This window comes from Homo sapiens, chromosome 8 (genome assembly GCF_000001405.40).
Source record: "Homo sapiens chromosome 8, GRCh38.p14 Primary Assembly".
Taxonomy (NCBI): domain Eukaryota; kingdom Metazoa; phylum Chordata; class Mammalia; order Primates; family Hominidae; genus Homo; species Homo sapiens.
Genome location: NC_000008.11, coordinates 118,862,577 through 118,886,721, shown reverse-complemented (window position 1 = coordinate 118,886,721; position 24,145 = coordinate 118,862,577). Strand labels below are relative to the sequence as shown.

Below are 24,145 nucleotides of genomic sequence, written 5' to 3'. Positions count from 1 at the left end.
ATATTTTTAAAATAATATTTCTGTCCATTTTTTCCCTCTCCTTCTTTTTCTTCTCCGACTTCCATAATGCATATATTGGTCTACTTATGGTGTCCTTAAAGTCCCTTAAGCTTTTCTTACTCTTGCTTACTATTTCATTCTTTTTTTATTTTTGCTTCTCTGGGTAATTTCCAATGATCTCTCTTTGAGTTCACTAATTCTTCTGCTTGATCTGGTGTGTTGTTGAACCTCTAGTGTTCAGTTACATTCTTCAGCTCTAAAATTTCCGGTTTTTAAAATATATTTTCTATCTCTTTTTTGAAATTTTCACTTTGCTTATGCATTGTTCTCCTGACCTTGTTAAGTATCTTTATGATGGTTATGTTGAATATTCTGTGAGGTAGATCACATATCTCTGTTTTATTAGGGTCAGTTTCAGGAGGTTTATTTTGTTCCTTTGTTTGGGACATATTTTCCTATTTCTTCAAGTTTTCTTGGTACTTTGTGTTGGTTAACTGCATATTAGAGAAAACAGCTATGATGTGGTTTGGATGTGTCCCTGCCCAAATCTCATCTTGAATTGTTACTCCTATAATTCCCATGTGTTATGGGAGGGACCCAGTGAAAGATAATTGAATCATGGGGCGGTTTCCCCCATACTGTTCTCACGGTAGTGAATAAGTTTCATGAGATCTGATGATTTTGCAAAGGGGTTTCCCCCTTTGCTTGGCTCTCATTCTCTCTTGTCTGCCACCATGTAACATGTGCCTGCTGCCTTCCACTATGGTTTTGAGGCCTCCCCAGCCACGTGAAACTGTGAGTATATTAAGCCTCTTTTTCTTTATAAATTACCCAGTCTTAGGTTATGTCTTCATCAGCACAATGAAAATGGATGAATACAAGCTATCCCTCTGAGTCTTCACAGTATTGCCTCATGCAAGAAAAGACCCTCACTAATCATCCCAGCCAGAGATTTGGGGTGGGGGGGCGGGATTTCAAACTTTATTGCTAGTCCAACTACCTTCTTTGTTCTCAGTGACACCCTGGTGTCCAGAGTATGACAGGTTCCATCAGTACTCTGAGACAAGCAAGACTGAAGCCAGTCCCTCAGGCAGCATCTGGAAAAGTTGAATAGTTGGACTTTCTGTTCAATTCTTTCCTTCTTCAAAGAGAAGTGGGGATCTGAGTATGTTTTCGTTTGCTCTGTGCTGGGCTAAATGGAAGGCCTAGCCTACGGTGGCTGATAGTCCAAACTGCCATCTTTTTTCTCACTGGTCTCTGGGCAGTAAGAGTATGCTAGGTCTTGTTAGTGCTCCAAGACAGGCAGCACAGAAACCAGTCCTTTGCATGTTCCTAGAGAATTTGAGGTTGTACACATGGTCTAACTTCTTTATTCCTCAGGGAGAATCTGGAAGCCGAGATTTTTCATCCACTTTTTCTGTGCTGGACTAGGGGGACTGGCTATGGAGGCTGACAGTGCAAACTGCAATTTTTCTTTTTCACTGATTCCAAGGCAGCTAGAATACACTGGGTCCTGTCAGCACTTCAAGAGAGGCAAGACAAAAGCTAGTCTTCTGGGAAGCCCCCAGAAAAGTTAAGGTGTTGGGCAGGCAATCCAACTCTTGCTCTCCAAGGAGAAGCTGAGATCTTGGGGGTTTGCTCCAAGTTGCATGGTACTATGCCAGGAGGAGGGATTATGGTGAGAGAGTGTTTCAAATTTCCCTACCTACTTCAATGTGGCTAGTCTCATGTTCACTCTGGGTACTAGAGCCTCTCAACTAGTTTCTGGATTTCTCACAAAGGGAATTTGTCCATGTTTTATTGTTAAACCAGTGTAATTATGGGGGGAAAGGGAGTCCAGGGTTTCTTATTCTGCCATCTTGCTGATGTTACATTAATAATATACTCTTTATGGAAATATGTTGCTTGTTATCACTTTGATAATATACTCCTTATTCAATCTTTATCTCAGAGATTCTGAGAGCATAAATTAAGATGTTATTATTATTAAAGATGATGATGAATATAAAACACTCAGTACAGTATAGATCTCAGCATAGGTAGCTATATACTCCACCATTTTTATTTTTAAATAAAAATAACTAAGGATCAAAGAGGATAAATGTAAAATAAGCAGCACAATCTTCCCCACTGTCACCTATCATATATCATTAGACAAGCAAGCTACTCTAATGCTTGACCAAAGCATATTTGAGATCCCAGGAACAAATTTTATGCTCCCTCAAGCTTGTGATCATTTTTACCTTTTTTTTTTTTTTTTTTTGAGACAGAGTCTGGCTCTGTCACCCAGGCTGGAGTGCAGGGTGGTGATCTCAGCTCACAGCAGCCTCTGCCTCCCAGGCTCAAGCAATTCTCATGCCTCAGTCTCCTGAGCAGCTGGGATTACAGGCATGTGCGACCATGACTGGCTAATTTTTGCATTTTTTATAGACAGGGTTTTGCCATGTTGGTAAGGCTGGTCTTGAACTCCTGGCCTCAAGTGGTCAGCCTGCCTTGGCCTCCTAAAGTGCTGGGATTACAGGCATAAGCCACCACACCCAGCAATTTTTACCTTTTATTGATCCTTCCATAAGAGCAAAACGAAGAGAAGATAAAGTAAAAATAAAGTAGTCTATCAGTTTAGCCAAGGTAAAGCTCAGATAAGAATTCAAAGGTATGAAGATTATCTAATGATATTATTTATGCATTGCTGCATTACAAATTATGTAAACCAAGTAGCTTTAAACAACCCACATTTTATATCCTCATGTTTTCTACGAGTCAGGAATTCAGACACAGTTTAGCTGGGTTGTCTGCTTCAGGGTCTTTCACAAGCTGTAATCGTGGTCTTGGCCAGGCTTGTGGTCTCATCTGAAGGCTTGTCTGGGAAAGGATCTGCTTCCAAGTTCATGGGTTTGTTTGTGAAATTTAGTTTCTCATGGGTCGGTGGACTGAGCAATATGTTTCTAGCTGTTTGTTGGCTGAAAGTACACCTCACATCCTTGCTTCATTCACCTGTCTAACACGACAGCTGTCTTCATCACAGTGCACACTGAGAAAGCAATAAAGTCTGCTAGCAAGATGGAAGTAATAATTTTACATAACCTAATCACAGAAATGGCATTCTATGACTTTTTCCATATTCTGGTGGTTAGAAGCAAGTCACTAAGCAATCCTACACTCAATAGGAAGGGGTTGTATGAGGGTGACTATCAGGAGGCAGGAATCATTAGAAGACATCTTAGAATCTACCGACCACACTAGTCAATCTTAAACCATCCTGATAAGAAAGGAGGAGCCTGGAACAACTGGAGGTATTATTTTCTGGTTTCTTTTATGTTTTCTTGGAATCTTAACATGAGATTTTACTCATGAAATCAGCTTTTATTTAAGCAAATATATTCTGAGGATGTACGATGTCTCTAAAACTTCATGGGTAACAATAAGAAGACAAGAAGGAAATCAAAGTTATCCATGACTAGTTGAATCATGTAACTACATAAAATTGAGATTATATGAAATGTAGGTGGACCAATTTAAATAATGGATATGGCACACTTAATTCAACATACACGCATTGAGCATACTAGTTTGCATATAGTAGGGGTTTAATACCTGTTTGAAAATAAATCAAATAGAATTAGATTTAAATGTGTAGATTTCAATTATTCTTGCTGGTACTGTTCATGCTTTAACTTTTACCAAGAGCCATTCTGCCTCTGCTTACAAGTGTAATGAAGAATTTGTTCCTTAAAGCAGAAATGAAATCAGAATCCATGCTGTTATTTCTCTCTCCTAACAGAACTGTGCTTATAAACTGCAAAGGGCTGACTTCTCTCTAATCTGAGGGGATGTTCCAGCTCAACAAATGGAAAATAAAGCCATATTCAGTAGCAGCCAAGGAGTCAAGGAGCTGGTATGAATTTGTGCCGCCTTCATTACTTGCAATGCATGGCTGAGATCATTTGAAGTAATGCCTGGAAATCCTCTGCTAAAACAATCACAGGGTGGGTTGGTGGTTTATGCCTTTTGACCAGGTCCACAACCCACACCTGCCACTGTGAATTTTAATTGGATATTTTTCTAGAGAGGAGTTCCTATGCTAGTATTAAATCAGAAAAGAAGTAATTGCACACTGCATTATTCATCATTCCAGCATAAATGAAAATAGAATGGAATTAGAGTAGAAAACTACTTTTCAGCAGAAAGAGGGCTTGCATATGACTGATCTATCAACCACAAGACTTGGGCCCAGTATGACAAAAATGCTTCTTAAAAATGAGTAGAAAATGTACTTCAAAATCACTTTCTCTACAGTATCTGTGGAGAAAGATCTATTTGTATCTTTACAAATAAAGCAACTTGTTTTTCCTTGTATTGTCGATGATTCCAAACCATTACTTTTTTTCTTTTTATAAGATCAGGACAATATTAACCAAGCCAGTGAGAATATACATACAAATTATCTTACTTGAAGTCCTGACTAGTTCCACTATACTTTATGTCTTTGTGATCTGCTTCTTGTTTTGTCTTCAAGTTTCTTTTGCGTCTTTCCAGGCAAAGTGAAGCTTTAATTCACCCTGAGTCATGAATGTAATTATTCAGAGATGTAGGATTTTTTATTCTTAGAATTTTTCAGAGAAATACTTTGTCAATGAGGATATGAAACCATTCATACTTTTAAGAATCTAAGTGAAAAGGCAGGAGAATTTGACATTTCTTGAGCATCTACTATGCACCAACTATTTTTTGACATATTCTCTCATTGAATGATCAGTACTGCAAGTAAATATTATTATTCCAATTTGACAAATGAGAAAACGAAAACTAAGAAACTATAGAAAAGAAGAAAACTAATATCTGGGCAAGTGAATACTAACATGGGGTGCACTTTATGTGTACAAATTCATTTAAACTTTACATATGTCCAACCTCATGTTATAGTTAAACAAACAAGCTCAGAGATGTTAAATAATCTGCATAGTACTATACACCTAGTAAGCAGTTAAGTTGACTTGGAACCCATGTGCATCAGATTCCTTGTATTTTTCCCAATTATGTCATAATGACTCAGCGTAATATTCCTTAAATGTAGCTTTTAGCAAAGGCACTGCGAAATTCAGATGGCTTTCTGCCAGCGCAAATAAAGAAGTTTGCTATTTATAAAACTGTTGTGTTCTTGAGCAGGGAAAGCCATCTGAGAACATCTCCAGAATTAAATTTGTCTGTAATTAAATAAATAAAATGCATAAGACTAAATATTAGAGGCATCTTCCTTGGCTCAATTGTATGTTCCAACACAGGCTAAGTCACCAAATCTACTCATTATAATTTCTTTTTCCTTTTTTTGGTTTAACATTTATTATGGCATTATAATTAGCTCTTAACTCATCTTCCTCTTGTTCTAGACTGGGAGTTCCTTGAGAGTAGATAGATACCTTGATATATTGCAGGCATCTAATACTTGCCGCTTAGTATATGTTCAATAAAAAGTGGAAGGATGAATGAATGGATAAATGAGCTAGTTAATGAACAAACACCTGAAACAACAGGATACCATGCCAGACTGACTATGTAGTTCTAGCAAACTCTAGAATACTCCCATACATAGCCTTCACTCTGAAGGTGATGTGATAACCCCAGGCTGCTTTGGGTTGTAGATTTAGCTTGGCAGATACTTACCCAGTATTGAACTTAGTTGAGTGTTATTCATCTCTGCCCCACCACTATCTCCAATAGCTGATAGACTAAGGTTCCTCTAACTTTGTGATTCTCCATTGTATTCTCCCCAATTTTCTTTCATTCCTCCCTTCTAAACACATTTTATTTTGGTGTTTGCAAAAATTTGGATGTGGGCTTTCCTTCTGCTCACTAGAATGTCTACAGATGACATGTAGTGGTTTAAGAGCACAAGCTTCAGATCAGACTAAGTTCAAACCCAACTACTACTTATGTATCAGCATTCCACCTTCATAAACCTACTTGATATGTGTAAGTCTCAGTTTCTGGTATGCAAAATGGGGATAATAGAAGTACCTACTTCAGAGTTTTTATAGAAATTATATTAGATCATGTGCCAAATGTAGTAAGCATAGCTCTTGATAGCTATATTTTAAATAATAGGATGAGAGTCAAAAAGTGTCTTTTCATTTGGCTGTTCAGTTTACAAAACCAAAAGAAAGAGATCTCCTTTATCTTCCTAAGGACATGTGAATTGAGTAGTCTAGTTATGAAGACGGGATGGTTTGGCCTAGCTTTATCTCTAGGGCCTATCCTGGCAATGGTGCTGAGATGTTTTGATTGTCAGCCTTGGTCATGTGACTTCCTCAATGGGCTGGGCTGGGTAAGGGAATGGGGTTAACTTCTTACCCAAACCATGTGGACTGAGAGTGAGAGGGGAGAGATTCACTAAAGGAAAATCAGAGTGCTTTAACCAGAAAAAGCTTTAAAGGGTGCTATGAATCTCTAAAGAACTAAACCAATTGTGGATAACCAATGTAGGATGATATTACTAAACAAGAGAAATAAAACAACCTCCAAATGCCTGCTTTCTCCTATTTGAAACCAAAATGTGGAGATAAACCAGAGAAACAGGTCAATTAAGGCCTATTCTGATTTAATTTAATTGGAGCAACAAAGGAATAATTATTGCTCTAGAGGCCATGAAGTTGAGTTTAAGCATAGCCAATGAAATAGACATAAGCAAAATAGTTGCAAGAGAAGAATTAGAATGTTCCCAACATAAAGAAAAGGTCAGTGTTAGAGGTGATAGATATCGCAATTACCCTGATTTGCTCATTACACGTTGTACGTATGTGATAGAATATCACATGTATTCTCCAAGTTTGCACAACTATTACATATCGCTTTAAAAAAGCAAATATGTATGTAGGTTAATCAGGGTTTCCTTTAACAGACAATTTGGCTAAACAAGAATTTCTTTGTAGAATTCTTTCTTCCTCTCTCAAAAATTGTCCAGATACTTACTTCAAACTTTCCTCCTTGCCTAGAGATGTACAGCTTTGAAAGACATGTCTCCTAAAATTTAAACCATTCACTTATCCCTATGGGAAATACGTGAGTAAAAGGACTGAAGTTATGCAAATAAAAGGATCGGTTTTTCTAAGCCTGTTTTTCCTTTTCATATTTGAATAAGACCTCATGTATTCTCTTCTCTCAGGAAATAATGTGTAAAAATAATAAAATTCAGAAGGGCATAAGTTGACAATACTTTCTCATGCAACTGTGTCCCATAAGCTTTTCTAGACATAAAATTAAGTTCTGTTGACAGCAAGTTCCAAATATTGCTTAAATCAGGCCACTTTGTCCTAGAGTCGTTGACCCCATAGCTCTGTGTGTGTGTGTGTGTGTGTGTGTGTGTGTGTGTGTGTGTGTGTGTGTCTTTTTTCTCTTCCCTTACATTTCTCCTCATAAGGAATTTTCTCTTTTTATAGTCATTTACCAACAGGGTCCTCAAACATGGAAGAATGAACACAACATTTAGACAATATAATTTTGTTTCTTAAATGGAATGTCCAATATACAAGCAAGTTTAAAAATGTTCACATGAAAAGACAAAATAAGCAAATGTGGAAGGTAAGTATGGAAGTCACAAAACATTCCCTTTCTTTTCTTTTGTTCTTAAAGTAAACATGCATTTATACATTACAAATTAAAAGGACATTATGGGAAGATCATTAAAAAGGTTATGAAATATGAAAATCTCAAGTAATAAATAATGAAAATAATTAAATAAATGACCAGTGAATTTCTCAACCTCTAAGCCAAGTGCTATATTCAAGATCTCAAGTTAACAGACACCGTAGAAACTGATAAACTGATACTGAGCTACACACGCAAAGAAACATTGTTTAATTCTGTTGCATTCTTAAAACATAAATATTTGAGTGGGCAGTGTATCAGATAAGTACCATGAAACATGACTTTCATTTATTATTAACCTAAGTAAATAAACTCTGGAGTAGCACATGACAAGAAAGGAAAACCTGGAACCAATTAGAGATGTTCCAAGTTCTAAGTTAGACCTGTTTTCCCTGGAAGGTCTATAAGCCTACAGCCACATTACTTCCAAGATGCCTCAAATTAAACAATGTCACATTAAATGAAAATATCACTGGATATTGTGAAATACTTTTGGGTAAATGTTTTATGAAAACACACCTCAATCATTAAACTTGACAGACAGACCAAGCCCATTATTAAACAAAAATATATCTGTATCTCTCAAGAAATCATGACTCATTAATAGCACTTTACTCATGTTGATAGCTTCCTTCCAAGTTCCAAAAGCAAATATTATCACCATGAATGTTATCATGGAAATGCTTTTGTCATTGGATTACAAGTTGCCTGCTTCCTTAAAACCTGATTTTATTCCTTTTTTACAGTCTTTTAAAAAGCCTCACTTACTTATTTTATAGTGTATAATATGCTTATATATAGCAATAAGTTGAAAAAGAATCCCACTGAGATTTAATTCAGGGTCACTCAATAATCCCCCATTCACCAGTATGACATTCATAGAGCCTGTTACTTGTAAATCAACTCCAGTTAGCATCTTCTCCAAAAAGACTTCCATGAGCACACTCCTTACCACCAAAGTTATTTTCAAGAACTCCAGTATTTTGTGCAATGAGATAAAGTGCCAATAAATGTATAATTAGGGAATCACTCTCTCCTCTATACCACCTATTCAACCTCTTATCATTATACTTGGCACAGTGCATTATAGTTGTTTGTTTAATACCAGTCTGTATAATGAACCTCTGGGTTACCTGAATATAAAGCCTCGTTATATTCATTTTTGAATCTAGTAGTGGATGTTGCCTTAGCCTTGTCCCCTTTATGGAGCCAATGCACTTATCTCGCAGTTGTGAGCTTGGCTGCTAACGGCCCATAATTATCTGTCTTTGGCCAACAGGAGCTCAGGAATGCCTAACAGGGGATCCCTCATCAAATGACTAAATGATTCAAGGGCATAAAGGCCTAGCCTCTTGACTTGGAGTGAGATAAGCCTGTGGTGTTGTTCACAGAGGTTCTCTGGTGTTGGTCCAGGTTCTCTGGAGATTAGGCTGAGGTTAGACTTAGTGAAACCCACATCTCTGCTTAGCTTCTTCCTCTATCCTAATCTGCTTCCTTAGAAGTTTATCCTGAAAACACTTCATCAGTGAAGTGCTTGCTAAGAACCCCCAGTTCCCACTGTGCTTTTAGGAAATCTGACCTAAGACACACCTCTAAGTGCACTGATTTGTGTGAACAAATATTCAGTTTCTCCTGTTAACCTTTGAAATTCATAAGAACAGAAATGATGATTTATTTTTCTCTTCATATCCAGTACCTAATTCAGCACCTGATAGATAGTAAACTCTCAAAAATTTTACAAATTTGAATTAATATGTGTGTACATTTACCTCATTCATTATCTTCATTTTGTACTAAATAAGGAAATGGTAGGAAAAGAAAGAGATGGATCTAAAGATTATCCTTGCCATTATAATTTAATTCCAAGCTTTCTCCAAAACCAAAAGGATATGAATTGTTGGTTGAAGTAGTAAGGTCTGAATTAAAGAGGGGTGAAGAATCCCTTCCCCTATCTTCTATGCCTACAATAATGGAGATAATTAAAAATAGTATCTCATCAGTTGAACAGATTCATTAACAGTAGCTAATGGTCATATACGAGTACTCAATTTTCTCTTTTTCTCTTTTTCAACTTCCCCTGAGTATATTTTCCATTCCTCACTTTCGTTGTACTCCCATATCAAATCAGCATTAGGTTTGTAAATGTCAAGCCAACTCCAGGAAATAAAGATGGGGCATTTTCTCAGTAGCAGTACAGTATATCACCGGAGATTAAAACAAATGTGGAGCTCAGGTCTCTATTGTATCCTTTGCAAATGATCCTATTTCTCTTCACTAAGCAAGATAGATCAGATTCCACGAAAGGAATTAACAAGTTCATCTAGAAGGACAAGAACTCCTACATTAATCAAAAGCATGCGAATATATCTAAATTAATCTGAAGGCACAAGTTTATCCATCAGTGTTTCTGCTGTTGCCTATGTCTTACTAGAAAAGTTGCAGGATTTCCATGATTAAAAAATGGAACAATATTCTCAGTATTCTAATTATAATTTCTGTTACTTACTGATCATCCTAAAGTTTGGCTAAGAAAGCATAAAAATAATTGACTCTTCACAGATACATTTTGTTTGGGGGGTAGAGAGAGACTTCTGATGAGAAAGGTTCATTAGGTTTCTATTACTCTAACTTGTATCAAACAGGCAAGATCCATCCCTGAACACAAAAACAAAATAACTCAAATACTGTCTCTGAGGGGATTAAGTATTTGGGAACGTTTGTATTTGTCAGTGCTCCTCTGTGAACTTCCAGCCACCAATTATATTTTGATTGCAGAGTTATGAACAAAACTCCTTATATGAAGATTAGGGGTGAGGGTATAATAGGCGAACAGGAATTCTAAAGAAAACTGGTGTTTAATCTCAAATCAGTTGCCATTTAACCCAAGTAAACTGCTGGGAATGTGGAGTCATTTTTTCATCTTCCTGTCTTAGTCTGTTTGGGCTGCTATAACAAAATAGGACAGACTGGGTTGCTTAAACAACAAGCATTTATTTCTCATGATTCTGGAGGCCAGGAAGTCCAAAATCAAGATGCTGGTAGATCCCATGCTTGGTAAGAGACCTCTTCTTTCTTGCTGTATCTTCACATGGTTGAGTGAGGGATCATATCACCTGTGTCTTTTCCTATAAGAGCACTGATCCAATTCATGAGACCTCCACCCTCACGACCTCAGGCCCCATCTCCAAATATTGTAACATTGGGATTAGGGTTTCAACATATTAATATAAACGGGGTAAAATCGGTCCATTGCAACAATCTTTACAATGGCCTTAAGGGGGTATATTTTTATCTTTATTTTACAACTGTTAAAACTTGGTTTTACAGATATCAAATGATTTTACAAAGTCACATAGCTACTAAATTGTATAGCTGGTATTTAAACCAAGGGCTCTGTGCTCCAAAGTCCACCATCTTTTGACTCCATAACTCTGTAACAATTTAACTAGTACAACTGACCTTTGAACAATGTGGGACTTAGAGGCATCAAAACCCCATGCACAAAAATCTGTGTATAACTTTTGACGCCTTCCAAACCTAACTATTAATAGCCCACTGTTGACTGAAAGCCTTATCAATAACATAAAGTTGATTAACATTTATTTTGTATGTTATATGTATTATATACTGTATTGTTACAATATATATGCTAGAGAAAATAAAATGTTATTTAAAAAATCATAAGGAAAAGAAAATATATTTACTATGCATTAAGTGTAGGTGGATTATCATAAAGGTCTTCATCCTCATCATCTTTATAAGTTGAGTAGGCTGAGATGGAGGAGGAAGAGGAAGGATCATTCTTTCTGTCTCAGAGGCGGCAGAGGAGGAAGAGGTGGAGAGGAGGCAAGAGAAGCAGGCACACTTGGAGTTAATTTTTATTGAAAAAAAAATGCACATAACTGAACCCTGCAATTCAAACCTGCATTGTTCAAGGATCAACTATATTTATGAACATCTATTTTTTGCTGAGCTCTCAATATCTCTGACTTAGGAACTAAAAGAGAAGGTTTCTTTTGGACACTTACTTTTTTCTTAAACCATTTTTATAATCTCACCAACCTTCTGCTATATTACCTGCTAACTAGCAACTAATAAAAGATTTGTTTTAAAAAGCAATTCTTTATCCTGATTAAGAGTGGATGCAGTCTTCTTTAAGGTTAACAAAATGAGTTAGTAAAATTCAGTGGCTGCTTTGAAGGCATGCAAAATCTTTGGAGTATGTCAGCAAATGAAGAAAAGAAATATTGGATTAAGCAAAATAATCGGTACTCTCAATTTTGCAGCCAAATGCCGAAAGCCAACTTAGTATGTTCATAGCTCCATGGCCTTCCAAACTCTGGGGAAATTTCAAAATTACTGCCTAATCCTCTGAGTCAGGAAGAAATGAGGACAGGCTGGGTTCTATTCTCAATGGAGCTGGGGAGAAAACTAAGCTCCTGTCTGGTTTCTTTATGAAATGGGGTACAAAGTTGTCTACTAAGAGTGAAAGGTGTGAGATAAAGATGGGTGACTTAAAGAGAGTTGTAAGCTAAAACTCACTGTCTTGAAGAATGGGAGGAAAGATTGACAGATGACAGTTATTAGAATGGAAGCTCTATGAGATCAAGGAATTTTTCTCCCCTGTGTCTCCTTGGTGTTTAGTGCTTCATAGGTGCCCAATAAATATTTGCAGAATGAGCAACCTCAGGATAAATTATTGTTTTCATTTTATAGTATCTAAAATATGATGTGGAAATAAGTTAAATCTATTAACATTATTATAATGAAATTGCTAACATCTCATACCATATCATCTCTCTCTCCTGTTTCCTATAATGCTACCTAAATAGTCCTTGCGAAGTTGGGATCTGGATAAAATGACTACCAAGGAGGGATTAAAAGTACAAAGGTTTAGTCTGAAAATTGCCTGTACAAGATGGGTCTAGGTCATGTTCCCAGGCTTTACTTTGGTTATGGTGAAGTGGTTTGCGAGTATTGTGAGATGAGTCTGAGGTTTTTGGGGAACACTGCTAGTCACAGATACTTTCTTACCTCTCCCCTTTTTCCTTTTAATTAAAACTGTTATTTCAGATTAAGTGGGCACATGTTCAGGTTTGGTACCTGGGTATGTGCTGAGATTTGTGGTACGATTGATCCTGTCACCCAGGGAGTGAGCATAGTACTCAATAGTTATTTTTTTCAATGCTTGCTCCTCTCCCTCCCCTCTAGCAGTGCCATGTCTATTGTTGTCATTTTTATGTCCATGAGTACCGATGTTTAGCTCCCATTTAAAAGTGAGAGCATGTGGTATTTGGCTTTCTGTTTCTGTGTTAATCCACTTAGGATAATGGCCTCCAGTTACATCCATCTTGCTGCAAGGGACATGATTTTGCTCTTTTATATGGCTGCAGAGTATTCCATGGTGTATACGTACCACATTTTCTTTATCCAATTCACTATTGATGGGCACCTAGGTTGAATTAATGTCTTTGCTACTGTGAATATTTCTGTGATTAATGTACAACTGCATGTGTCTTTTTGGTAGAACAATTTATTTTATTTTTGATATATACCCAATAATGGGATTGTTGGGCCTAATGGTAGTTCTGCTTTAAGTTCCTTGAGAAATTTCTAAACGGTTTTCCACAGTGGCTGAACTAATATACATTCCCACCAACAGTGTTTGAGTGTTCCCTTTTTTTCTGCAGCTTCACCAGCATCTGCTGTTTTCTGACTTTTTAATTATAGCCATCCTGAATATGCTCCATCGTCAAGAGCCAGAATCTCTCAAATGCAGCACCGTCTAGTCTTTTCTTCGCCCCCTAGAGGAGCTTCTGCCAAGGCTACGGAAAGTTGTCCTATTTTCCTGCCGATAGCTTCCCATCAGTTTTGACACACTGTTTTGCAGAAAGTTCTAAATTGCTGTAGGACAAGCAGTACTGTTGGGAGGTTTATAAGTGCTCACCTGGCCTAGATATGTCACATCACGTTTTCTTCAGGCTTGGGGTCTACTTTCTCCTCAGTCCCCCATCTCATCAGCTTATCATGACCATGGCTGCTTTAGTGCACCAGTTTCCTATGTGTTTGGCTCCAGAATAGAAGAAGGGGAAATAGCAGTATTACCCTTCCTTTATTCTTGGTGTGTTGGTCAAGTTTAAGCTTTCCACATTTACTTGCAAATCCGACAAAGCACTTTTAATCTCCATATGAAAGCCAATGTTTAATGCAAAGACTTATTAAATCTGTGTAAAATATACAAATGAGTAAATTATTGCTAATGACATGACTTTCTATGTTCTTCAAAGCTGAACCAGGGAAAGTTTCTTTCATTTTAAATAAGAAATTCATTTTCCACTATCCAGAATACCTCACTAGTCCATTTCAGGTTTTCAGTATAATACAGATCTGTCTACATTTACCAAATGAAAGACTCAGCTGCAAGAAAAATGAGAAAATAGCAAGACTGCATTTCAAAGTAACATGGGAAAGCCATTACACCAAAATTCATTTGAAACAAGTTACTCCTGGACAGTGTGAGTTAAGTGTGATTACTAGTTCTGGAAATCCATTATGAAACAGATAAAGTTAAACATTGCCCTGGATAATTGATGCATTGAGTTGCATTCATTTATCTATTGAATAGCAAATAGAGCTCAGTTTTGGTAAGAGAGGTTATCTGGGAGAAGATTTTATCTTAAGGACATAGGTAAGAACAAGTTAGGTTAAGAAATTAAAAGTACAGAGTAGGAAATTTATACAATCATTTAGAATATGGTGGATTGGTGGTATATCAGTTTAACTCAGTTGGAACTATGTTTCGTAAAATTTCTTCCCTGTATAGTTCTTGTTAATAGGAAGCATCAGCCATGTTCTTTTTGCACTCTGAAGGTCAAAGCAAGCATGAGGCCCCCTGCAGTGTATGCACATTGTTGGTTATTGAGGGCTCACTACCTTGCAATGGCATCCCTCCTGCAGTTCCTATAGCTCCTGCCAGTCCTCATTCACGGCTGGCTCCTGTGCTAGGTGCAGATTTCGCTCTATGATGAAGAGCACTAGGTTCTTTTGCAGAATATCCCCATCATCCACATGTAAAGACAGTGAGAGATTATCCCTGATTTAACCTGTCCTCACAGGCTCCAGCTTCCCAGGTTCCCATTTGTTATGGCTTTCATCACTTCATACGCATCCTGCCTCTCAGCCTCCTGCCTGTGGATTTCTGTCTCCACCACCAAGCCCAGAAGAAAATGGTTTAACTATGTTCCATAACTGTGTAAGGTCAGGCACATCCATAATATATGAATGTATATTTCATATAGGTTGTGTTTCTCTGATCAAACCCTGACTGAAATACAGAGTGAGGTTATTAGAGTGGGAAAAATTGGGATGACAATTAAAGAAAGCATTTTTCATTTCAGAGAAGAAAGACAATGCCTTTGGCTAAGCTACTGTTGCTGCAATGTTCTCTGAAATGTTCCACAAAGGTTAAATCAGCCATATTTAAGAACTCCAGGTATATACTGTGGATGAAACAATTTACTAACAAACTATTTTCTTGAGGTTCGGTGTCTCCATATAGCTTTATCCTATTTTTGAAGTTATTAGTTACTCAATTTTAAATAATACACAGTAGTTGAGTGACCGTTGTATATTTATGGCTAACATTTCAAATGTATTTCCTGGTTGACATTATCTAGGTGACAGTATCATTCTTAGTACTGATGTTCAACCTTTAAAATGTTGCTTGCTATATCACTTTGATGCAAATTTTTATCTGTGGCCTGATTTTTTTTTCTCAAAACAATTCTAAGAAATCAGAAAAGAGCCAGCAAGTAATTGGGGTTTGGCATGTAAAAAGAAAACAAACATTCCTAGAGCCCATTCTATCACATTTGCACTATATAACTTCAGCTAATTCTCACAAACCCTCTGTGGTTAGAATTAATATCCCTATTTTAAAATTAAGAAAACTGACAGAGAATGAAAGTTAACATCTTATACTTAATAAATGGCTGTAAATCAAGTTTCTTACAACCCCAAAGCCCAGGCTCTTTCTGCTACCTGGTGCTTCTTCAAGGCAAGGGAAACTTGTATTTCTGAAGTTTGGCTAATCAGGCTTACAGCTTTCTGTTTTTACATCCTTCTCACCTATGGCTTTGCTGTTACTTCACTCCAGATAAATAAATAGGCTTAATTCTGCCTCTGTATTGGAAAAAATTCTCTTTCTAGCTTGAAGAAAGTTATGGAGGCCTATACTCAAAGGCTCAGCAAAGGTCATTGTTGATGTTAGATGCACTGTGACTTTCTCTTCTGTTTTCTATAACCAGGTCTTACTTTACTTTATCTCAAACCTTCACTTTATACTCAAGATTTATTAATTGAAAACCTGTCTCATTATTTATTCTATAAGCACTGAGGGTTCAGTATGGGCCAGACATAACCTTAATATTAGGGTTAATGAATAATGCATGGAATCTATTCACAATAAGATAATATTTCTAGTATAAGAGATAACCATGTAAAATAAAACTTTTAGCAAGATACAATAGTACATAACTTGAGAATGTGCAAGGACAGTAGGGACCAACTCTACTGGGAGAATGAGCAAGGTAGGCTTCAGAAAGGAAGTACTGCTTGAGTTAAGACTTGAAGGACGAGGAAGATTTTTCAAGGTGAAAGTTTTATAGTCAGAGGTAATAGCATGTGCAAAAAGATAGTGGCATAAAGTAGCGTTACTCTTTTGGAATTATAATTACTCAATGTATTGGAATATAGAGAATGAGAAGGGAAACTGGGCAATAAGGCTCATGGAGAAGGCATAAACTAGACCATGAATGACTGTTTGGGTCATGCTGAAGAATTTGGACTTTCATCCTGAGGACAATGGAGGTCATTACAATGTTTAAATAGAGGAGGAGTGTAATTACATGTGCAAGTCTGACATCTGTGTGTGAAGAATGAATTGGAAGGGGGGCCAAAGTTGACCCTGGAGTGGCTTCTGTTTTCTCAACCCTAGTCTTTTAGTTCTGGGACTCTGAGCTAGCCCAGGCCACGAGGAACCCATCCCTTTCTACCTGCTGCCTTTCTGGAAGTCAAGGCCCTTCTTCCTTGCCTGCCATCTATTGTACACTACAGCAAATGGATACTTTGCTCTCCTATCTATTGTGTTCTCTATCTGACCCTCACTGCCAGATCTCTGGGTCACAACTCATCTTCCCTCCACCGTATATGCTACTGATTGGGCCTCCATTATTACCTATGCTATCCTTGTGGATCTTATTGATTTCTTAATCCCAACCATTCTCCATTTGTCCCACTCCAGCTCGTCTAAATGTCTAGGGTTAGGCAGATGTTTTCCTTCAATAACTCTGAATTCTAAGTGACCAGTCCTATCAGTTAATCTCAATCTTGGCTAATTTCACATATATGTGAAATTGGGCTGAATACAGTGCTGGTCTTGTAATTTTGATACTGGACATGGGTAATGAGAATATGCAAAAAATCCAATTAAAGCTACATTTTTAAAATTCCACATATCAACTATATTGTTAATTCTTTAAAGAAAGTCTTTGGCTAGCTACCACCTTGTGACTTTAAGTTCTTCCTTAAAATTGAGTGAAGCCATAATACTATCAATGGAAAAACTTTAATAACCTTTAGAACCAGAAAAAGTTGAGGTGCATTATACATTTAGAAAACTAAGAAGATAAGAGGCAAGCAGGACCGTATGATAAGGAGCTAATGTCTGACAGCTGAACAGCAGTAACAGAAAACAATGGAGAAAATTTTTATCTCTTGGTAATCGGCGCTTTCTGATAGTAAACTATTTTCAGTATATTTAACATGTCTGAAAAGTGTTACATTTTTAATATGTTACATAAATAAAAAAATTTAAAGATGCAAAAGAAAGAATCAAACGCTAGACTACAAAACTTCAGGGAATCATCTAAGCACCAGAAAGGAAGTATGATACTGTAATGAAAAAAAATAAAAAGTCCCCAACGTATAATACCTAGAATTTTCATTTCAGCAATTGTCCCTCAATATTGAGACCCTTTGTCTGTTCCAGAGGGGTAATGGCAGGTAGAATTTACCTAAAATCCCCTCAAGTTTCCAGTTCTTCTGGTCACTTCCTCCTCAAAATTCTTTCTGTTACTAATTAATGGCACGTTGTTATGGCCTCTGTGTAACTTTGAACAGAAAGAGTCATTTCCCAATGGGTTGTAAAAATGAATGAGGTGTGGAGGGAAGTTATACTTTATACATTAGTAGAGTCACAGAATTTTAGTGACATTCAAGATTAATTTCCTATCTTTTACAAACAAGTGAATTGAAAATTGGAGAAGTTAAGTTGTATTAATTAGGGTGAAAAGTGGTTCCAGGTTTCATAGGAGCATTAGGTTTACATAATTTTGAGAACCTTCTTTAAAAAAATAACACAAAATCCCGTTCCTTAAAATGTTTTAAGTACAGTTGATTAAAAACAAATTTTAAAATCCCCAAAAACTAATGTTCTCTGTGTATATGGTAATAGTAATTATTAATTAATAAAAGACAAAGACCACATAAACTTGAAATAGTTGGGTTAAAATTTCAAGAGCTTTTAAATAAATGATTCAATGGTATTACACGAATTGCAAACAAACAAACAAAAATCACATACAAGGCTTTGGGTGCAGCTTGTGAAATTGAGGGTTTAATATTCTAACCCAAACTGAGTGAGATAAAACCCAATTTGAATAAGTAAAAGCCAAGTAAAGGTTGAATGACCCGGTCACAGGAAATGCAGGGAGGCAGAGGGGCATCAGGAACAACTAGAACGAGAAACATGGACCTCCCCAGGACTGTGCCTGCAACTGTTTCTCTCTGCGTGTTGGTTTTATTCCCTTTCACTGCAGACCAGCATTCTTCAGACTCAGGGAACCATGGCCACTGGTTCATAAGTTATGCACCATAAAGCTTCAGCCAATGCAGGAAAGCTCTCACTGGGCCAAGCCAAATCCTAGCGAAGGACCTTAATTGGTCTAGCTTAGATCCAAGTCAACTATTGCTAAAGGAGTAGAGTCTAATAAAAATATGGAGCCACCATTGGCACATGGTCAATGCAGTAAAGGACCCAGCTAAGAAGAATCTGCAAAGACAAAACAACTAACACGTAATTGATTTACTCAGAATGGAACAGCTAATAAGCAGTAGGTTCAGGATCACAATCTTAGTACAGTACAAAGTTCTTTCTCTGAAAGTGACAGCAGATACTAAATAATTTAATTTTCCTGGCTCAGCATTTTTGTGTTTTCTTAATCACAGAAAATTATCAAAGTACCAAAACAGACAAGATCAAACACAAAATAATTTAGTTTTTTCATTCAGAAACACTTAAATGTCCTTCTAAGTGATCATTACGCTTATATATCAATTTTCATTAGATATTTATTAATGAAAAATATAGGACATATGGATTAGGTGTGCATTATACATTAATGATAATTCAAAACTGTCCTTTTGCTATTCTGATTCTATTTATTTTATTATTGTCTGTTTATAATAGATATAGAATGCACAAAAAAGTGGTAGTTGTTCATGCCCTGAGATAAACTGATTATTTTATAGTGCTTTGATATGTAAATAGCATCACTACAAGCTATCACTTATTACAGCCACATTTTTTTAAAACAAATAGCATATTGCTAAATATTTCAGACCAAAAAGTTCCTGCATAAGGAAGTTGGTATTGATTTGCATTTTCTAGTTAAGTAATTCTCTATTGATTTATATTTCTTTGCCCTAAACAAAGTGCTTCAATCACTGGAAACATTAAGAGGAATTGAAAATGGGGAATTTTGAAAAAATATGTCGTAATAGAAAGAAAACTCCAAGCCTCCCTTTTTTCTCTCTCAACTCAGCTTAGTAGCATTTTTAAAATGTCATTTCAATTTTTCAACTCACCAACACTCATTGTTTTAGAACAGCTCCAGGAATTCCTCCCCAGTTGGATACATGATGTAAGTTGAATGAATTGCTGGAAAGATTTTACATAGTGCCTAAATGATGCCACTCTGCTTGAGATGACAGAAAATGTAAACAAAAACAGAGCTTTGCAAATAATTAATGAATTTCAGCTTCAGCTCCCTTTTACCAGGGAGGCCTTCTCTGGGTTAAACTCAGCCTCATGATCTGTTAAGGGCATGACCAAGGCTATACTTGTTCTACCTAGCGATTGGCAAGAGCAGAAAAAGCCTCAACTCAGAAATGGGCTTCAGGAGTGCAGAAATTTGAGAGTCAATGAAGGATTGTGAACATCACCAAAATCAAGGCATATGAATTATTTTCTAAATGAGTAAGAACAAAATCTGTTAATGTTCATTTTCAATTTCCTTCACATAGACTAAATCCTGCGGAGCAGGCTCACAGCACAGGGCTGCTTACGGAGAAGACAAGACGACAGGATGCACGAGGAGAGTGTGTGACAATGTGATTCCCCAGCAGATGACCTACAGTAATGACACAGTACAGAGGGTGTCCAAAGAAACATTGTAAGGGGCCCATGGGGCTGTGAAGCATTGAGAAATCTGAGCTGAGCTCTCACCAGCCTGGTAAATTCCACTGGCACCAAGATGCTGAGCCAATTTAAATGCAAAGCAAAAAACTTGCAATGTTTGCCAGACTCTTTAAAATGTAATTATAGCAACCCATTCAAGGATCAGTTTAACGTATAAGCAACTTGGAGAAGACTGCTGATCCCATTCAAACATTTTACATTCCACATACCTACGCAATGACATTACCTGGAGGATGTACTTTCTTAATTAAAAAAAAAAGTTTTCCCCTCACATTTTGAAAAGTATGTTGTTATTAAATGGATTTGTATCTTTAATTTTTGAATTCTTCAATTTTCTCGACCGATATTGTACTAAGTGATGGTACTGTAGAATAATATCTCAGGTATGCTTAGTGCTACACAGTAAGTCTCCATTCTCCCCCTGCCTTCTCCCCCAACCCTGCTGCAAAACCAACCTGGTAATTTCTGCCCATCTCAGCCTTTATCTGTGCCCAGGGAGAATGGCTTCTACCAACTGTGTCACCTAAGCTCCCTTGCTTTCTGGCTTCCAGTTGGGTTTGGCCAGTGGAAGGCACTGAAATGAAGTCAGATAACTGAAGGAGAGAGAGATTGAGGTATTATTAGGCCCTACTCTCTTGCAACAGGGTGGCACTTTAGCAGGAGTTGTGTTCCTCTGGAGTGGGTATATCAGATGGCCTCTGTCACATGGCTGCAGCTCTCTCCAAATGCCAGCGGCTGCCTCCTGCCCTTGCCTGTGTTGGCCTTGTTATGGTAATGACTTTCTGTCATTGTTAGTTTCAGAAGGCTTTGCCAATTCTTGAATTCCTTAACTCCTCCCATACCTTAGTACAGAGTCTCTTAATTATGTTTTCTTAAACTATTCTCATATGTACAATATCTCCTTTCCTCCCAGGACTTTGATTAATACAATTGACAAAGGAATACCATTTATTGCAATATTATTAGCAGCAAAGTTGATCCAAAGTGAAGTGACAACAGTCCCACAGACAAGGACGTATATTTCCAGAAAGCAGTATGGTGTAATGGATCTGCACATAGCCTGATATTATAGTTCGAAGTCTGGTTCTTCTACTTAGACCCATGAACTTCAGCAACTTTTCCAGCTTTTCAAAACCTGTTCTTTCTTAATAAGATAAGGCTGATAATAATATCTCCCTTATAAATTTGGTGCTGAGATTAAATGAGATAATTTAGTTTAAACTCATAGCATGCCACAGACATTAAAACTGGAAGCATGACAGTTATAATTCTGGCAATGGTGTTAAAAATGATGTTTCCAGTGATGAAACCTCAACTGAGAGGTGTGATCTAAACATTTTAAAGACATGTCCTTTCGTGACCTATGCTAAGGAAAGTTCATAGTGCTATTTTACTCAGTATACAAGTTGCCACAACATTATCACTACTGTCAAAGAATGATCAGTAATATCCTGGATTATTTTCTCAGTTAATTTCAGGCTAGATGAGGTTCCCAGTTTTGAAATATTTCCTTTCCCCACCCCAGAAAAAATACAGAATGAAGGTGATTATTATGAAACTGGTGATAATGATGATGGTGACTCTTACTGAGATTAACATGCCAGGACTATTCCAAGCATTTTACAGGTGTTAAATCTTTCAATCCTCATAACAATTTTGTATGGTTACATATTATTATTGTCCCATTTTGCAGATAGAGCATCAAGGCAAAGATTAAGTAACTTGTCCATGGTCCAATCTAGTAAGTGGTGGCAGTGAAGTTACAACCCTGGAGTTCAGGCTCCAACGTCGATATGCAAAAATGCCCAGTTATACTATCTCAGTCTGCCATTGTGACTATCCTCTCCATGTCATGGATATCCGAGTTCTGTATTTATGAACGCAAACATTTTATTCAGAATTATAACACCAATGAAAATTTTCTTTGTCAAGCATGCATTTTACAGAGGAAATATCATTAGGCCGTTTAAATTTATTATCGAATTTTCTATTCAGCACAGTTAAAATATTTTTATGTTTATTGAAATTATATTCATCATGATCGTTTTTCAGTAAACTGTACACTGAATATGTGATTTATTAGTCAGTCATTTCATCCGTGTCAAATGTGAATGATTAGAGCTTGCATCTGTAGGACTCCTCTTTTATTGTTATTATAATAGAGCTTTTAGCAGAACCACATTTAATTTACATGAATTCAATCAACTCGGCCAAAATGTAGAATATATCTAAAGGTCTCAGTGATTTCCCAAACCCACTCTCAAGGGATTATCAAACATGAAAAAATTGTATACATGATGAAGAGGGTTGTGACTCCTCCAGGAAGAAATTAAGGAATTAATGGGACCAGAGTTGATGAGAAACAGGTTATTAACATAATCTCAAAATACATCCCTACAAATTATAATTTACAGAAATTACACTTTACAGTACAACAGAGAAACCACACAACACCTTAACCAAGTTATGAACGTTAACATCATAAATAAAGTGTAAACACACATGACGTACCTACAAATGTGACAGCCTAAGAAGGACATGACATCATGTATTTAGCAATCCAGCCAGTAAGTACGAAACCAGAGTCATATGATAAGGAAACATCAGGTGAACCAAACTGAGGACAGTCTATAAAACAACTAGCTTGTAATCTTCCAAAATATCAAGGTTAGGAAAGAGGGGAAAAAAAAGGCTAAGAAAATTAGCCTTTAGATTGAATTAAATGAGATTTAGGAAATGTGATAACTTAAGTGTAATACATGATCCTGGCCCAGATTCTGTACTAGAAGAAAAATTGCTATGAATGCTATTATTGGGATAATTGAAGAAACCGGAATGTGGACTCTACATTAGATAAAATTAGCATGACAATATTAAATTTCCTGAATTTGATAACTAGGTTGTGGTTTTGTAGGAAAATACCCTTGAGAAATATACACTAAAGTATTAAGGGATAAAAAATAATGATGTATGCAATCTATTCTCAAATGGTTCAGCAAAAACCTGTGTGTGTGTGTGTGTGTGTGTGTGTGTACACAATGAGAGAATAAAAAAAGCAAATGTGGGACAATATTCAAAATCAGTGAATCTGTGTAAAGGATATACAATTATTCTTTGTACTTTTGTGAAACTTTATGTTGGAACTTATTTCAACATCAGAAGTTGTTTAACAAAATAATTCCTGGAAGTCTTTAGGGAAACATTAACCAAAATTGGGAAAATTGCTACAATCTATTGTAGAAAATAATGATAACACTAGAATTTAAAATTTCCACAAAATTGTGAAGTGTTGCAAAAACCCTCAAATTATTTACTTGCTGATTATGGTCTTTCTATGGAATTGCATGTTTAACATATTATCCTGTAATACATGCATATTAGTGAACAGAGCTATCTACCAAGAATCTTGTACTCTATATTTATGGGCAATTTAGGGATTTTCCAGGGTGATTTTTACTATTTGTGATTTTCAACTTATTTTAGAACTAAAAACCAGCTTTTAAAATGTTACCTCAGCGTATTTCTAGAAAGGCAAGTTTTTCTAGATCAGTTTTTGCAGATCTAAATTTTTAAGGATGCAGTCTACAACATGTGAGAGTTTGTGTTGACTGGACAAGGCTGAGTTTTTTGTTTCTCACAGGAAGACAGATCATTATGTTGACATATTCTTAGCAGCATCTTGCAGGAGGGAGAGAAAAGTCAAGATATATATGTTTTGAGGGTCTGATTTAAGGTAAAGTTTTCAATGTAGGAGTATGCTTAGAACTGGGCAAAACTTGGCCGGGCACGGTGGCTCATGCCAGTAATCCTAGCACTTTGGGAAGCCAAGGAGAGCAGATCACCTAAGGTTAGGAGTTCGAGACTAGCCTGGCCAACATGGTGAAACCCCATTTCTACTAAAAATACAAAATTAGCTGGGCATGGTGGCAAACACCTGTAATCCCTGCTACTTGGGAGGCTGAGGCA

At 36.7% G+C, this 24,145-nt stretch overlaps 1 long non-coding RNA gene across 1 annotated transcript; it reads left to right on the top strand.

The window, feature by feature from the left end:
• Positions 1 to 673: 673 nt before the first annotated feature.
• LOC124902008 (uncharacterized) lies at positions 674 to 20,494 on the top strand. Its single transcript, XR_007061075.1, has 3 exons — positions 674 to 795; positions 7,434 to 7,575; positions 20,005 to 20,494. It is a non-coding gene; the product is annotated as an uncharacterized LOC124902008 (long non-coding RNA).
• The last annotated feature ends 3,651 nt before the right edge of the window (positions 20,495 to 24,145 follow it).